This window comes from Homo sapiens, chromosome 11, assembly GCF_000001405.40.
Source record: "Homo sapiens chromosome 11, GRCh38.p14 Primary Assembly".
Lineage (NCBI taxonomy): Eukaryota > Metazoa > Chordata > Mammalia > Primates > Hominidae > Homo > Homo sapiens.
In genome coordinates this window covers 129,253,504-129,271,831 of record NC_000011.10, presented here as the reverse complement: position 1 = coordinate 129,271,831, position 18,328 = coordinate 129,253,504, and the positions used below count along the sequence as shown (strand labels likewise).

The window sequence follows — 18,328 nt, the reverse complement described above, 5'->3', positions numbered from 1 at the left end:
GTGGTCAGTTCAATGTTTGTATCTTATTTGACCTCTCTCACCAGCATTTCACAGTGGCCAACTTTACTAGTTTTGACCTCTTAGTTGTTCATTCTCATTTTCTATATGCTTTTGCCAGTTTATCTCTACTTTCCCACTCCTTGAAAATTTGGAATGTCCCTCAGGTGATTTCATCCAATTTTTGGTTTCAAATACCATTTATATGCCGATGAGGCTCAAATTCTTATTTCTAGTACTGACTTTTTTCCCCCTTGCGCTCTAGACTCTTGTAACTCCATGCCTCTCCTTGGATGTCTAATGGATACCTCAAAGGCAGCATGAACAAAGGAGGGCTATGAATTACTCTTCCTGTTGGTGACTTCTTCCTCTACCTCCCCCAAGTCTTTACCATCTCAGTAAGTGGCATCATCATCCACCACTTGCGCAGGCCAGAACCCCGGATTCTTCCTCCTCCTTGATTTCTTTTTTTCCTCCTCATCTCATGTTAAGTCTGGTCACCTCCACCTTTATAATATAAACCGAACCTGACTACATCTCACTTTTTTCACTGGCAAAAACCTAGGCTAGGCTAGGCTAGTAGGCTTTGTCGTCTGGCAAACTGCCAGCAGACTTCCCTGCTTCTACTCCTGTCCTTGTCCTTCCCCTCATTCTTACCATACACGGGAGCCAAAATAATGTTAAACGTTAATCAGATCGTATCATTCTGCTTACTGGCTTTCCAATATACTTAATGCTAAAACAAAAACTTAACATTTTACCGTGGAAATAAACCCTTCATTTTGGTCGCTTATGAGGCTCCATATCAGTGGTTCTTAACCAGGGAAGATTTTCCCCTCAGGTGATGTCTGGAGACATTCTTGGTTGTCACAAATTGGGGTAGGTTGCCACTGGCATCTAGTGGGTAGAGGCCAAAGTGGCTGCTAAACATCCAACATCCAGTAATGCACAGGACAACTCCCAGCAGCAAAAAATTATGTGGTCCAAAATGTTTGTAATGTGTGATATGGCTCCTGGCTGCTTCTCTGCTCTCATCTTCTGCTCTCTCTTCTTTTCTTCTTTGTTCACTGAGCCACAGTCTCAGTGATGTTCCTTTTTTTTTTTAAGTAGACTATTTTTACGTTCACAGCAAAACCGAGCTAAAGGTGCAGAAGTTTCCTGTATACCCCTTGTCTTTACACATATGCAGCTTCCCCCATTATCAGCATCCCACATCAGAGTCGCATATTTGTTACAGTTGATGAGCCTACATTGAAACATCATTATCACCCGAAGTCCATAGGTTACATTAGGATTCACTCATTTTTCCCACTTGTTCTGAGAGGAGAAAAAAAAAAAAGACTGACTCTTGGTGTTGTACCTTCTATGGATTTGGACAAATTAATAATGACATGTATCCACATCATAGTATCTTATAGAGTAGTTTGACTCTGCTGAAAATCATCTGTGATTTGGCTATTCATCCCTCCCTCTCCCCAGCCCCTGTCAACCACCAGCCTTTTTACTGTTTCCATACTTTTGCCTTTTCCAGAATGTCATATAGTTAGAATCATAGAGTATGTAGCCTCTTCAGACTAGCTTCTTTCACTTAGGATAAACATTTAAGTTTCTTCCCTGTCTTTTCGTGGCTTGATTGTTCATTTCTTTTTTATTGCTGAGTAATATTCCATTGTCTGGATATACTACAGTTTATTTATTCATTCACCTGCTGAAGGACATCCTAGTTGCTCCTAAGTTTTGGCAGCTCTGGATAAAGTTGCTACAAGCATCTGGGTGTGGTTTTTTTTTTTTAATAAGTAAGTTTTCATCTTGTGTAAATACCTAAGCATGCGATTGCGGGATCATATGTTAAGAATAAGTTTAGTTTTGCAAGAAACTGCAACACTGTCTTCCCAAGTGGCTGTGCCATTTTACAACCTCACCAATAGTGAATGAGAGTTCCTGTTGTCCCACATCCTTGTCCACATTTGGTGTTGTCAGTGTTTTAAATTTTGGCCATACTTATGGGTGTGTGGTATATGACATTGTTTCTTCCCTTTGAATAAAAGCACGTTCTGTCTTAGGGATTTGTGTTTGCTGTTCCTTTTACTTAAAATGACTTATTTTTAATTTTTTTTAGAGACAGGGTTTTACTCTGTCACCCAGGATGGAGTGATCATAGCTCGTTGTAACCTCGAACTCCTGGGCTCAGGTGATCCTCCTACGTCAGCCTTCCAAGGAGCTAAGACTATAGGTGCGTGCCACTGTGCCGGGCTAATTTTTGTAATTTTTGTAGAGACGAAGTCTCTCTATGTTGTCCAGGCTGGTGTCAAACTCTTGGGTTCAAAGGATCCACCTGCCTCAGCCTCTCAAAGTGTTGGGATTATAGGCGTGAGTTATGGCGCCTGGCCATGTACTTCTTTTAAGTCTCGTCATGGCTGCCTTCGTCCTCTCCCAGAGAGACCATCATGATTACCTGTATATGTAGCACCCCCACCTCTTTCTTTTATATCATCCCATTTTGTCTTCTTCATATTCATTTATTATTTGCTTATTTGTTTAATTAATTAATTAATTTATTTTTCGAGAGAGGGCCTCATTTTGTCACCCAGGCTGGAGTGCAGTGGTGCGATCTCAGCTCACTGAAGCCTCGACTTACTGGGCTCAAGCAGTCCTCCCACCTTAGCCCCCAAGTAGCTGGAATTACAGGTGTGCACCACCACGTCTGGCTAATTTTTGTATTTTTAAATAGAGATGGGGTTTCACCGTGTTGCCCAGGCTGGTCTCGAACTCCTGGACTCAAGTGATTCAACTGCATTGGCCTTCCAAAGCTCTGGGATTATAGGCATGAGCCACTGTGCCCGGCCATGTGTTTAATTTATAACCCCCCTCTCTCTGAGCTACTCAAGGGGTGAGGGCTTTGTCTAGGCTCCTGCTGTATCTCTAGCATTCCTACTTAATAAACATTTGTTGATGATAGAGAGGTGCTAGAGTCACTTTTAGAAATGGAGCAGGGTTTTCAGCAATAATGAGAAGTCACAGGATCCAGCTGGTAGCAGTAGAGAAAGTTGTGATTTGCTGGAGGGTGAAAAATCCATTGAGACAAGGCTGCTTTGGTCTTCTATTTAGTAACTAATTTTGAAGAATGGAGGAATTCACCTTTTTTTTTTTTTTTTTTTTTTTTTTTTTTTGGTGAGGAGGCAAATAACGAAAGAGCAAGATGACAGGAACTTTTAAAGAAAGAAAGGTTACTTCAGGGTGTAACTTTGGTTTTGCCTGTGTCTCATACCACTAGTCTCTGCATATAGAGCTATATCTTCATATTGCCGCTATATAGGCCCCCAGGGAATATGCCATCTGCCTTTCTCTAATATCAGAATTCCTTCTACATTATCCTTGGGAGGTACTTACCCTCTGCTTCTTTATTTTTACTGTCTGAAAACTCAGTTATTCACATGACCGATTAACTTTTTAAAAAGAGTTCTTATTGTTAGGAAATGTATCTCATTCTATGAAATTGGAACACTACTCCATGCATTTCTGACTCCACACAGATCTGCTTTATTTTTCACATGATAGCTCTTTAGCTGTCTGTGAAAAATGGCTAGTTCTTTTATCTTCCCACCAGTCTTTTCTCTTTCTAGGCTCAATGGATTCATTTTCTTCAACTATTCCTCATAGGACAAGGTTTTTAGATTATTTTTCAGGCCCATCCCTAACATTTTTGGGACTCGGGGTAGGGATACAAATTGCAGATCTGCTATGGTTTGGATATTTGACCCCTCCAAACCTAATGTTGAAATTTGATCCTCAGCATTGAAGTTGGGGCCTAATAGGAGGTTTTTGGGTCATGAGAGTGGAGCCTTCCTGTCTACATTAATGCCTTCCGTGGGTGGGGGGTGAGTGAGCGAGCTGTCCCTCCGTTAGTTCCCCACAGAGAGCTGGTTGTGGAAAAGAGCCTGGTACCTCCCTCCACTTGCTTCCTCTCTCACCATGTGATCTCTGCACATGCTGGCTCCCCTTTGCCTTCTGCCATGAGTAGAAGCAGCCTGAAGCTTTCACCAGATGCCTAACCTTCCAGCTGGCAGAATTGTGCACCAAATAAACCTTCTTTATAAATTACCCAATTTCAGGTGTTCCTTTATGGCAGTACTAAACGGACTAAGACGAGGTTCATATGTCTATGCAAGTTATGAATCAAGTTAACTGATAAATAGAAAATGTTCCATTGCTGATTTTATCAAATAAAACTCCATAGTAACCTAGATCAGAGTCAAACAGAGAATTCAGATTCCTCTGAGTTTGTTTTTTTTGTTTTGTTTTTGAGACGGGGTCTCGAAACATATGTCTATACAAATTATCAGTCAAGTTAACTGATAAATAGAAAATGTTCCATTTGCTGACTTTATCAAATAAAACTTCATAATAACCTAGATCAGAGTCAGAGAATTCAGATTCCTCTGAGTTTGTTTTTTTGTTTTGTTTTTGAGACAGAGTCTTGCTTTGTTGCCCAGGCTGGAGCGGAGTGCAGTGGCATGATCTTGGCTTACTGAAACCTCCGCCTCCCAGGTTCAAGTGATTTTCCTGCCTCAACCTCCTGAGTAGCTGAGGGACCACAGGTATGTGCCATCATGCCCCGTTAATTTTTACATTTTTGTTAGAGAGACGGGGTTTCACCATGTTGGCCAGGTTGGTCTCGAACTCCTGATCTCAAGTCATCTACCCTCCTTGGCCTCCCAACTCTGAGTTTGTTTTTAGAACAAGCTGAGGTGCAGAGAGTCAGCCTCTGACCTGAGGTCTTCTTCTCTTCCCCAGGCTCCTTGAACTATGAAGTTTGCATGTGCGTGTCTGTGGAACTCCAGCCTGTACACCCTCCAAACAGCAGCTCTTTGGCCATTCTTTGGCCTAGGGTTGTAAATACTGTTGGTTGGGTCATCTGTCCTTAGGAGAACTGACTCAGGGGAGAGGCCTGAGCAGACCCTGGAAGAGGTGGGAGATTTTGGGGTCCCGGTCAAGATGAGGGCTGGGGCACGTAGGCTGCAGATGGGCACATCCTTTAGGCCCTTAGCATAGCTGGCCCCATGGTCAGGGGTATGGTTAGAGGAAGGCCAGTGCAAGGCCCTCTAAAGCTTGAGGCCCAGGATGGGTGCCATTGTTTAGGTCTAAGCAGTACTGTTCTATGCAAGTAAAACTCTGGTTTTGGTCCTATTGCTAGAGTTGGTTATTGTGGAAAATGGTACAATCTCTCTTATGGTGCCTCAAATTAGATGTGATGTTTTAGTTAGAGCTTCCTAACCAGTGTGCCAGCAGTTCTCTGAATGTGTTACAGATGGGCCAGAAATACTGATTCCCTTAGTTCCCAGGATTGTCAGGGGTAGAGTGGCAAGAGCTTCTAGGCTGATCACTTTTCCAGCAGGATGACCTATTTACCCCAGGGTGCCTGTACCAGTGCTACTATGCTACCAGTATCAGGTGCTTTATGGGCAGGTTTAGGAGCATATATATATATATTTTAATGAACATTATCACTTGGTCCACCTGAAAGAGTAAGAGGTGTCACAGTAGGTTTTGTGCCCTTCTTATTAGTAGGGAAATAGATCCAGGTTAAGTCACTTATCTAGTGACATTTTCTTACTCAAGTAGGCCAGTTGAAACTAGAACTCCGTTTTTATGACTTATTTTGGTATTTCTCTCTACTAACCCAAATTGTGTTCCGTGTACCTTTTTTTGGGATAACTTGTCACTCTTATTCATCTAGGGCTTGTAGGAAATTACATTTTTTAGAGCTTTTCTCTCCCAAATTTTGTTACATTGTTTTCCTTTTATTGTTATTTTTTAATCTAAATATTCAGTTTTATGTTTAATCCCTACTAAACAGAATTATTTTTATGAGATTCAACCAATTGATGGAGCATCTTGAAACTGGATTTTATGTGTTACTCATTTTTTATAGCTCTCTTCTTTAGATTAGTATTATATTTAGTTACTACAGTAATGTTTGTGTGAAATGTGTGAAATGGTCACCTCAAACTCATTTATATAAGGTTAGATTACATAAGACAGGAAAGTGTGCAGTACATTTTAGAAATATTCCTGTTGTAAAACAGTTAAAGTTCTGGTGCTTACATGTAAATTCACTTGTTTTTTTATCTAATGCCTACTTTGTACTGATCTTAAGGAGTGTTATTTTATTGAAACCTCCCAGTAACTCTAGTAGTAGTACTATCATAGAAGGGAACTGGGCCTCAGAAATTGTGGTCACTTGATCAGGTTTACTCAACTATGTGGGGGATTGATTCATACTTTAAATCCAGGTCTTTTTGCCCTTCAAGTGCCTGTGTTTTCCTCAGTACTACTTTGTAAATAATGTGAAGTGATTTCTGAACACTTAACTCGGGTTGAGAAGGGGATGTTTTCCACATTTATATTCTTAACATTTAGAGTAACAGATTCTTTGCTATTACTCCTGCACAGGACAACCTCTCTCTCTTCTCTCCCAACAGAGAATTACCATCTGGTCAAGAATGTCAGTAGCGCCAAGGTTGAGAAACCCTGCTGTAAGAGTTCTGAGTAGTCAAGGTTTTACTTTGAGTGCGTTTGTGTTTGCAGTTTTAGCTCTTTACCGTGATGATAGGTACTAGAATGCACGAGAGACATGAACTACTTGTGCCTCCATAGTTTATATTCTTAATTTGTCCACTTCCCTCCCAGTTTGGAAACAGGTTGACAGTGAGTGTAGAGCAAGATGTTTATCCATTTGTATTCTGTGTTGTTTCTAGAGAATCAGGGATTTTATGTTAGAGACTTTCTGAATGGTGAAGGTTAGGCTTTTTAGGTTTTCATGCTGATTTTTATGATAACTTTCAATAGGAAAAGGTTGTGAGACATGGGCAGTTAAGCTGGCTTTCATGTACTGGCTTGCTAACCCACCTACTCTTATGAAGAGTTGTGTTGATTGATTAGAGCACAGATTTGAAGGAATGGTTGCTCAGTATTCTCATACAGGTTCTTTGTGTTTTCACCTGTTTTTGAGTTCCAAGGCATGATCAGAACCTCATTATAGCAGTTTTCCCAATTTCTTTTCAGTACCTTCCCAGACCTGATTTTATGTCCCTTTGATCTAGATTACCGTGCCCACCTCCTTAAACTTGTTTCAGTGTGTCATTCTAAACTATCAAGAACCATCAAAAGTTCTCTGTCTCCTATGGTTCTATTCAACTCTCTTGCTTGAGCTTCAAGGAGAGCCTTTTTAGAATCCTTCTTAACTCAGGATTCTGTTTCACCAAATGATAAACATCTGTCCTATTAATATTACCAACAGCTACTGTTATTGCTAACTGTTTAATTGTTATGGACATGCTACGAACTCTTCTAAGCCCCTTACATGTATTATCTGATTTAATCATCACAAGTGCCCCCATGAGGTAGTTACTTATAGTGATATTTTTATTGCAGTAAAATATACATAAAATAAAATTCGCTATCTTAGCCATTTTTTAGGTGTGCAGTTTAGTAGTGTGAATATATTCACATTATTGTGCAATAGATCTCCAGAATGTTTTCATCTTGCAAAACTAAAACTCTATGACTGTGAAACAACTTGCCATTTTCCCCTTCTCCCAGGCCCAGTAACCACATTCTACTTTCTGTTTCCATGATTTTGGCTACTTTAGATACCCCATATACATGGGATTATACTGTACAATATTTGTCTTTATGTGACTGGCTTATTTCACTTAGCATAATGTCCTCAAGGTTCATCTATGTTGTAGCATGCGGAAGGATTTCCTTCTTTTTTAAGGGTGAATACTATTCCATTGTGTGTCCATACCACATATTGCTTATCCATTAATTGTCAGTGGATGCTTGAGTTGCTTCCACCTCTTGACTATTTTGAATAGTGCTGCTATGAACATGAGTATGCAAATACCTCTTTGAGTTCCTGTTTTCAGTTTTTTGGAGTATACATCCAGAAGTGGAATTGCTGGATCACATGGTAATTATATTTTTACACTTTCTGAGAAACAGCCATACCCTTTTTCCATTGCAGCTGTACCATTTTATATTCTCATCAAGAGTGCTCAAAGGTTCCAGTTTCTTCACATCCTTGGCCACGCTTGTTTTCTTTCTCCTTTCCTTTCCTTTCCTCTTTCCTCTTTCTTTTTCTCTTTCTTTTCTTCCTCCTCCTCCTTCCTTCTTCCTTCTTTCTCCTCCCCCTCCCTCTCCCCTCCCCCTCTCCCCGCTCCCCATTTTCCTCCTCCTTCTCCTCCTCTTCCTCCTTCTCCTCCTCCTCCTTTTTTTTGCCAGTAGCCATTTTAATGGGTAAGGTGATATCTTATCATGGTTTGGTTTGCCTTTCCCTAATGATAGTGATGGTGAGCATTTTTTCATATGCTTGTTGGCCACTTGTATGTCATCATTGAAGAAATGTGTGTTCAAGGCCTTTGCTCATTTTAAAATAGTTTTTTTTGTTGTTGAGTTGTAGGAGTTCTTTACATATTTTAGATATCAGTCCTTTTAACAGGTATAAAATTTCAAATACTTTCTCCCATTCTGTGGATTGCCTTTTCATTCTGTTGATAGTGTCCTTTGATATACAAACATTTTAATATTAATGTTGTCTAGTTTATTTTTCCTATTGCCTGTGCTTTTGGTGTCATGTCCAAAAAATTATTGCCAAATCCAGTGTTATGACATTTCCCTCCTATGTTTTCTTCTAAGACTTCCATAGCTCTTATGTTTAGATCGTTGATCCACTTTGAGTTAATTTTTGTATATGGTATAAGGTAAGACTCTAATTTCATTTTTTGTGTGTGAATATCCAGGTTTCTCAGAACCGTTTGTTGAAGACTGTCCTTTCCCAGTTAAATGGTCTTCACACTCCTGTAGAAAATCATTTGACTATATATACTAGTACTCATACTAATTTTATAGAGGAGGTGATTGACATTGAGGTGTGACTGATAGACAATATTAACATATTTTTAAAAAGAATTCGTTAACCTTGAAGTAATTTATATTTGGTACAGTAAAATAAAGTGAAGGTTTTTAGGGTTGTGAGGTTTTTTTTTTGGTGTGTTGCAGTCTTCTCCCAGGATTTTTGTAGTTCTGCCAGGCCTTATAAAACGACTTTGAAATGGTTTTAAAATAGTAGTTTTGGGCTGGGCCTGGTGGCCCGTGTCTGTAATCCCAGCACTTTGGGAGGCCAAGGCAGGCAGATCACTGGAGGTCAGGAGTTTGAGACCAGCTTGGCCGACATGTGAAACCCCCTGGTGAAACCCTGTCTACTAAAAAAAATACAAAAATTAGCCAGGTATGGTGGCATATGCCTGTAATCCCAGCTACTAGGGAGGCTGAGACATAAGAATCGCTTGAACCCAGAAGGTGGAGGCTGCGGTGAGCCAAGATTGCGCCACTGCACTATAGTCTGAGCGACAGACAAGGGCTCCATCTCAAAAAAAAAAAAAAGTAGCTTTTGCTATATTTAAAGCTGTTTATTTGTAAGGTGGGTTAAATGAATATATCAACATTAATTCAGTAGATATTTACTACCTATTAGAAGTGGTTTTGTGGGGAATAAAAATTAGGGGCTTCCTTTATGCCATTTATATTGTTAGGAATTAAAAAAACATGAGAGACAGAATGATTTGAAGATAATACAGACTTTTTTTTTGGCGCATGAGGAAAAATTAAAAGTTTGCAAGATCTATTTTAATTCTATTTTATTAGTCTGGCATGCCAGGTTTATTCTTTCATAAGTAAATATTGTTCGTGAACATTTTGTCAGGTTTCCGTATTTTCTCTTAATTTGTGTGTTTTAAAAGGCAGACATTATTTCCCTGTGTATATAAAACTCCACCTTCATGTGTCATTTGGTGTTATGGTAATCGCTAAACATAAACATCTCTAAGTTTAGCTGTAAAAATCATCAGAACTTGAAGATTTTTTTCTTGTTACAGCAACAAAGGGATTTCTATATACTATTGCATTTTATTGCCAAATAAGATTCTAATATGTTTTGGTTTCCTTTTTTAACAGTTGCACCATTAATATAGGGATCATTTACTGAGATGTTTAAGTCAAAATTACCTTTGATTAACAGAACAAATTGCCTTTTCAGCTGTTTGCTCCCAATAAGAAGCAGTTTTCATCCATTTATTTACTTAAGAGTATTTCCTGAAAACTCTGGTGAATTCCTCAGCACCAAGTTGTTTAACACAGAAGAGAGGTGGAAACAAAAAATGCTTGGTTTTTACTGGCTTTCTTTTAGCATTTCTGTCTAGTCGAAATGGGGGCCAGGCTTGCACACATAGACAACTGAATTAATGTAACCGGACCTATTCCATCTAGGCTGACCTCTTGAAAGATAGGAGGGGAAGTCTAAAACAGGAGAAAAGTTTTAGAAATCCTTTGGATTAGGCTTACCCAGATTAGTGGTATGTAAAATATTATGATATTCTTAGTGTTTCAGGATTATGGATTTTAGTAAAAGCAGAAAAAAATAAATTCTTGTTTAACTGAATCTATAATGGCACCAGTGGTTTGGAAACATTTCTGAGTTACTTGATTTTATGTGAAAAAATCTGGAATAACTTTTCCTTTTTTCCTTTAGACCATTTTTCTTTTATTTAACCTAATCCGAGCCACTTTATACCAATTTCAACAATATTTCTGAATTCCTGTGATCTTTTATTTCCTTTTTGCTGCTTTCAGCTGTGTTTCTCTCCACTCTAAGCTCATTAAAGTTAAAAAAAAAATAGGAGATTGGACCCATTTTTTTTTCTGAGGAGTGTGGCGTTTAGCACCCTGTGGTGGCTCAGGATATTTTAAGTAGTATTTTCAGCTTTCTAGAAGTGTTTGCCTTATTTAGAAATAGTTATGGAAAGTTTTCTGTTTGGAGGAAACTGTTTCTTATCTTTGTTCTGGCAAAGTTGTTTGATCCTTTCAGCATCATGATTCAGTTGGTTTGTGTTCATGTAGGAGTTTGCAGCCTAGCTGCTAAAAAAGTTATTTCAGAGATGCTTATGTAACCCTTTTTAGATTAATTATTGGCTAATATTTTTGGGAGTAATTATTTTTTGATTGCTCAGCTGTAACATATTTTATTGTGCTAAGATTTTGGAGGTTGCCTTTAGCGCAAGAAAGTAGTAGGAATTTATTTTTAAAACGGATGCTTTAAGGTAGACAGCTTAAACAGTTAAATGTTTGATTTTTATGTTTAAAGAGTTATTAAAGTATATAGATAAAGACAATATTATATTTTACATGATCATACTAAGGTGTTTCGCAGTTACAGAATGAGGAGCTTATTTTTTAAGACTTTTTTCTATTTGAAAATAAATGTCACAACTGAGATTTCTTATTTAAATATATTTATTATCACATTTTAAGAAAGAAGTTTTAGTTTATAACTCTGTATGAAAGCCCGTAATAAATTTATTCACTTTTTATCTTTCATGATTTAAGATAGAGACAGGGTGAGAAAAACCCTGAAGAACAGTCAACAAAAGCTTTCAAAACAATGTTATCAGAGGTATGATAATTATGATAAGAAATCATAAGACCATTGCCGCCAGTGATGTTATTTGTGTTTGACTAGAATTATCAGTTTTTTATGCCCACGTAAACAAATTGTTTTATTTCACAAAGGAGGTTTAATAATTTATGGTTGAAGTGTAAATGAAATACTATGGCTCTTCAGTTGTGTAATGCTCATGCCGGTCTCAGATGTAAAAGTTCAATCAGTGAGTTGTTGCAGCCCATTTCATTGAAGGAATGGAGACAAAAGTTTGTTTGTAACTACCATGGAACTGAGCACAAAGATGCCAGTGACCTTTGAACTTCTGTGGCTGTGCATCTGAACAAGGGATTGTTTGAGAATGGGAAAAGCTGCCAGTAGACTTGGGATATGCTTTCTCCTTGTTTTCTACAGAATTGTTGAATGACCCTACTCCAGAAAAACAAAAAAACAAAAAACAAAACAAACAAAAAGCTTAATTGGAAGAAATTCTTACTGGTCTCAGAAGAATCTCATGTCTGCATAGCAAAATCTAATTAGATATTCATATCCCAAAGTGATAGTCATTAAAAATACTGTCTCCACTTACAAAAATGGCAACGTTAATTACTGCCATTTTATGCATTGACAAGGCTGGTAGGTGCTTGTGGTTTCTTCCTCTGCAGTTCTTATTATGTTCTTATTAAAAGCTATCTTCCAGTTCTATGGTTGGAAAATGCTTCTATATCTGGGTCACACTAATTCCTTAGCTTATTTTTTTTTTTTTTTACATTGCTTAAATGTTGGGCATTATTCTGAGAGTGAAACCTGTATTTGTCAAATGAATGAGTGAAGTAATAAATGTACAGGAAAAGTATTTTTTTGTGTGTGTGTGAGAGAGGAATAATGGCATTTGCAGTACTCTTTTTTTTCTTCCAAAGTGCTTAACAAAAAACTAGTAACATCTCTCAGTATGAAAATATCATAAATAACAGTATCTCTTTTGCAGCCATTGTATATAGTTCTCTTATTTGCCCTAGCCAGTGTTCAAACTGGGCCCAAACACGACTTTATTTCAGTTTTGTTGTCTTTAGAAAGAGCTGAGTATTCAATACTAATCTTTCCATTTTGGAGAAAAAGCTGGTTCTAGTTTATATTGTTGCATATCCTGTCTTACACATGATTAATAAATTATGAAGATGTTTATATTTGAAGTTAATGTACCAATTTGCCATTACATAGTGCATGTGTTTTGAAGTGGTTCCTTTTTCCCATCAGTAATGCATTTGTGCGTATTATTTCATATACTTTTAGGTAGTTCTCTTTATGACTAGTGGCTAGCACCATAATTTAGCTCATAGGTTATGATAGAGTGCAGAAATCTGTCATCATATTGCTTAACTGGAGTCACTGGGATTGAGTTTATGATTTCATTAGCTGTATTGTCTTGGTACCTGATAGGGGTAAGATGGGAAAAATTAGTACAGTAGTTATAATAAGAAAAGTGGTTGACTATTAACTTTCCAGTATGTGTTAAAATACTGATTTATCAAAAATTTAAAATAAAATCTTAACTGGTTGATAGTTGGAGAATTTGTTCATCATAGTCCTGTGAAAAATTATTTAGGAAGTTTAGCTTTGAGTCTCGATTTATCAGCTACTCTTAAGAAATACAATAATTTACTGGCAGAAGTTCTTTAAGCTCTTTTTGTGCATCTGTCTTAAATGCCTAAGACAACTAGGGCCTCCAGGAGTGGGTTATCTGGGAGGCTAGTTCCTTAGTGGAGGCAGAGATTTGGGGTGAAGGGGACTGTGACTGTGAAGGAGAAAGTTTGGCTGTAGGGAAAATGGTGGATAGAGTGGGAGCTCGGAGCTGGAAGAAGTTAAAAAGAGGGACGTGGCAGGCACATACTGCTGCAGATAGCAGGCTGCCTTTCAGATCCCAGTCTAAAGGAAACGAGAAGGAATCAGAACACCGGGGTCTGCAGCCATCAGATCGCCTTACCTGATGGAGGAGACAATCTTTAAATGGCTCACAGATTCAGAAAGTTAAACTCAACCACCTGGGGTTGATCAATGTATCTTTTACTCAGTTTTAGTTTTGGTTTATTTTGATTAAATTCTCTCCTCTGATGGTTGAATTTGGTTTAGATTTTAATATGATAGTTGTTTAATAGAGAAAAAACAAACCATAGCACAGCATAGAACATATATTTGACAAAGTGCTATAAAATTGCCATATAACATTAGTGAATTGAATATTCCCTTTAAAGAAATCTTAACATGAAATGTATTACATTGCTATTTTAGACAAAAATAAGACTTTTTTGAACTGTTCATTTTATTGACATGTTTTATGAAGGGAAAAGATAAAGAAGACTGAAGAATATGGAAAATATTAGGTAAATAATAGCATTTTTCACACCTATTCTAAGAGTAAAAGTTTACATTCTGATGACTATATATCATCAGATAAATGCCACATTACTTGATTTTATGAAATGGCCAGTGTTAAGTTAATTTGGATGAATAGCAAATAATGCTTTGGGTCAGAAGGGGTAGACTGAGATTTCATTGTTCATTCTGAAAAAAATTTGTCAGGAAGTAAGTACTCTGTTTAGGATTTAAGAAGTTCTGTTTTTTTTTTTTTTTTGGTTAATTATTAACTTACTGCTTCTAAGAACTGAGTATTTAGAAAACTTATTCAATGTTTTCTGTAATTTTAAAAATTAATGAATTATTTATTTTTAAGCAACAAAGTTTTGTTATGTTGCCCAGTCTGGACTTGAACTCCTGAGCTCAAGTGATCCTTCTGCTTTAGCCTTTTGAGTAGCTGGGGTTATAGGCATGCATCATCATGCCTGGCTGTAGTTGTTTTTTTAAATACTAAAATTGAGATCTGAAATGAAAACAGTCTTGACATTGCTCTATAGCTACTAACTGAAGAAATGGTGACTGTGCCCTGCCTTTTATAGTACCTGAACTTTTCTACATTTTCCTCCTGTGGTAAATAATATGAAAGATGCTTTAGAAAAATAGTTCCCAGACTTGTACCACAGAGAATTGCTTCTAGTGCCATAAGTCACAAACTTGTAAGTTGCTAGACTTAAAAAATATTTCAATATTGGTAAACATTATCAAGTGCACACCATGGTATAGCAGATTTTTCCTACTTGTCTGAGGTTCATTTCTTCCCTTTTCCTTTCTAATAGAATTTAAATTTTGTTAGAAGCAAAACACAAAGCTTTTTGTGCCTAGCTTAAAAACTATCAATGTCTTAGCTTCCCTTCCTACTGAGGTAGCCATGTGATCTAGTCCTGGTCAGTGAGATGTATGCAGAAATTTCTAGACGAAGCTTTTGGGAAAGCCCTTTTAGCCATTTCTCTTTCCTCCTGCCTAGAAATTAGACATGATGACAAGCTGTAGCAGTATTCTAGAGACTTTTAGGGAAAGGCTAAGAGATTCGCGGAAGTCTTAGCCCTTATGTTCTTGAACTGCCAAACCAATGTCAGCAAGCGCTTCTCTCTGAACTTACATTTCGTGAGGAAAATAAAGCCCTATCTTAAGCCACTATAGTTTGGACTTCTTTTTACATGCATCTAAACATTATCCCTAACTGATATGATAATTTACATGCCCGTTATGATATTCTTTCAGGAGATTTGGATTCTTCTTACAGTTTAACAAGGGATGTTATCCGACTTCAAATCCAGAAGTCTCTGAGATTTTTGGAATTATTTCCTTTAGACTTGATTGGACCAGCTGGATATCCAATTGGATGGATGTTGGTTACTTCTGGAGGGTTTCTTGCCTTTCAAAAATAGCCTGTAGCATTTCTCACTGTCATTTCATCCTCTCTCAGTTTAAGTCCCCGGCTTCATCTTGCTACATAATCTATATTGAAACCATAGAGCTCCCTCTGATTGGAGAGAATGTCCATGTAGTTATAGCACAATTAGGGTCATTTGGATTGGTCAAGGACAGGAATTTGACTGCTGACCTTATCTCCCTCCATACCAGAATTAATTGCGGTCTTTTTTTTCCTTTTTAAAAATTTTAAACTTTTTCATGTATCATACACATGTTGAGTACGTGCATAGAACATACATATTCAACTCTATGACTTCTCACAGCCTGAACATATATGTGACTAGCATCTGATCAAGAAGTGAAGCTTGATTGTCCTTGTGGGTTGTCAGCATGCAGGCTTCTAACAGCATGGATTTGTTTTTGCCTGTCTTATTTTATATGCTGGAATTGCGCAGAACATATTCTTTTGTCTCTGGTGTCTTTTGCTCAGCATTGTCTATAAAATTTATCCATATTATTATATGTAATTATATACATTCTCATTGCTGTATAGCATTCCATTATGTGACTGCATCTCAACTTATCTACTGTTGGTGGGCATTTGGATTGTTTTCAGTTTTGACTTACGAATATTACTCCTGAGAACATCCTACAACATATCTTTTGGTAAACATACGTAAGCATTCTGTTGAATGTATACTTTGGAGTAGAATCCCTGGATCATAGGGTATCAGTAACAAATGAGAGTTTAAGCTCCTCTGCATTCTCATCAGCACTTGATGTCATTGTTTTTAACGTAGTCCTTCTGGTGGGTGTATCTTTTGTGAAGTGCCTGTTTATGCCTTTTGCCCATTTTTCTGTTGGGTCATTTGTCTTGTTTGTGAGAGTCTTTTTTATATTCTGACTACTAGTTTTTTGTCAGATACTTGTATTGTGAGTATCTTTTCCTGCTGTCTGGGTTACATCTTTGTTTCTTTAAGTGTCTTTTGAGGCCTAGGTCTTAATATAGTCCAGTGTATCATGTTTTTCTTTATGGTTAGTGCTTTTTGGATACAGTTAAAAAAGATTTTTGCCTACTCTAATGTCTGAGAGATGATCTGTTTTATTTTCTTCTGTAAAAGCTTTATGGTTTTATCTTTTGTGTTTAGATCTGCATTTTTTCTGTAATGCTTTTTGTGTAGGATGTGAGTTGGGGGTCACAGTACCTTATTTTCACATGAGATTTAGTAGAGTCAGCACCATTTATTAAAAAGATGATCCTTTTCAATTGCATTGCAGTGTCAGCTTTGTTGTAAATCAGGTAAACCACATACGTGTGGGTCGTTACTCGACTTTGTTTATTCTCTTCTGTTATTTTTCCTACCCTTCAGCAAATACTGTGCTGTTCCAATTATTATAACTTTATGACACGTTTGGTTACCTGTTAGTTTTAATGTATCCAGCTTTATTCTTCCTTAAGATGGCCTTAGCTAACACTGAGGATTGTCAACTGGTTAGGTGGAGTTAATATTTATTTTGTATGTCTTCTAACTTTGACCATACAGCATCCCTCAACCAGCTGACTGAAATACTGGCATTAATCCAGTTAGCCATCAAGAGAACCTAGCTAGACTTCTAGCCTCTTAATGGATTTTCAGATTTATTGAGTGAACAGAAAATAATTTATTGGTGTACACACAATACATCACATTTAAAATCATTGCTCATTTTTAGCATAAATCACTGCAGTGTTCAGTAGTAAAATATCTAGTTCAAATGTGTGCATTTCAGTGTGCTGATACTTAATTTTCTCATTTGTAAGTAACCAGTTGTTTCCTTTATCATTATGACCAGCTCCGTAGATGCCATGTTTGGAAATTAGTTTGCTTAAAAAGGTGAAACAGGAATAGTGAAATAAAAATAAGACTGAATCTATTTGGAAGAATTAATTATCTGTGTGTGACATTTAAAGGCAATGATCTTTGTTAGTACCAACTTGATATTGACAGTTTAAAGAAGTTTGTTCTCAGTGCCCTGCCTTCTTTCCCCTTCCATTTCACATTGCTTCTGTTGGAGGAAATGCTAAGGTTTTTATGTAAAATAGTTACTATTTATCTTCAAAAGTGACCATTTTAAAATCATGTTTACTTATTTTCTTTGTGGGGTGGAGAATGGGAAGGAGGAAGGGAAGCAGTGAGCCTTTGGGATGCAGTGACTGTATTCCAGATTCCCATATGACATGTCATCAAATATGATACATTCTTTAAAATTGGGACTATCTTAGGAAATTGAAAATATATGATCCCTATACTAACTTTGGGGAACCTTTTTTCTACTTTTAAAAATAGGTTACTAATGATCACAGATCTATGTGCACATGGGCTGTATAAATATTTCCCCCCCTTTCAATTAATAAATGGTGAGTTACAAGGGCGTAGGGGTCATGCTTGTCAAATATTTGAACTGAATGTGAGTTAGGCATCTAAAGCTATGATCACACTTATTTACTTCTAATTACAAATAAAGATGCACCATTTCATTTATAATGTAATTTTAATGGAATTAAACTTGAACAGTTAACACCACATAATTATATCCTATTTCAGTTAGAATAACTAACCAACCCGACTTTTCTATGATATCGGTCACAGTGTATTTATATAACTGTATTATGGGCAGAAATTTTCCTCTGTTAGTGGATCAGGTACATATGGTGACCCAGTGATCTCAGTGACAGCATTTGTTGAACAGACCTTTATGGAGTGCATATTAATTTTCAAACACTTTGTAAGCACTAGAATATAAAGATAATTAAAATAGATATGATTCCTGTTACCACAGAACTTTCCAACCAGAGTTGGATACCTCAGGTTTATAAACATATTGTACTTGTACTACTTGAATTTGCATACTAATAATAATAAGTAATTTTTGATTGCCCTATGAGGATTCAGGCTTTCTATTCCAATTAAGTATAAGGTTCTTAGTACAATGTGTTAGTATCAGATTTTCACATATTGTGGGCTACTTTTCCTCAACATGTAATTTAGTTAATAGTGTATAAAC

The 18,328-nt window shown here is 37.1% G+C and overlaps 1 protein-coding gene and 1 long non-coding RNA gene across 8 annotated transcripts in view, besides 2 other annotated features; both read left to right on the top strand.

The window, feature by feature from the left end:
- The window catches only part of ARHGAP32 (Rho GTPase activating protein 32), a 314,573-nt gene that overhangs the window by 7,801 nt on the left and 288,444 nt on the right, over positions 1–18,328 (top strand). Inside the window, exon 1 of one of the 7 annotated variants that reach the window (XM_011543072.3) lies at positions 4,659–4,965. The exons of the other annotated variants lie outside the window; for them this stretch is intronic. The gene's annotated coding sequence lies outside the window, so the exon portion shown is untranslated. Of the gene's footprint in view, positions 1–4,658; positions 4,966–18,328 lie in introns of those variants that run through there. 7 annotated transcript variants of the gene reach the window in all.
- Positions 1–18,328, top strand: part of LOC399975 (uncharacterized) — a 49,387-nt gene that overhangs the window by 11,333 nt on the left and 19,726 nt on the right. The window lies entirely within an intron of this gene.
- Positions 11,741–11,885: an enhancer, noted in NCBI's record as "145 bp enhancer 230 fragment used in the MPRA reporter construct; PK_construct_1569". NCBI's record gives its function as "activates an SV40 promoter by MPRA in HepG2 cells {active_cell/tissue: HepG2}" and the evidence as "EXISTENCE:reporter gene assay evidence [ECO:0000049][PMID:23512712]".
- Positions 11,806–11,819: a transcriptional cis regulatory region, noted in NCBI's record as "HNF4 motif; enhancer activity is reduced when this motif is scrambled". NCBI's record gives its function as "necessary for full MPRA enhancer 230 activity {active_cell/tissue: HepG2}" and the evidence as "EXISTENCE:site-directed mutagenesis evidence [ECO:0005528][PMID:23512712]".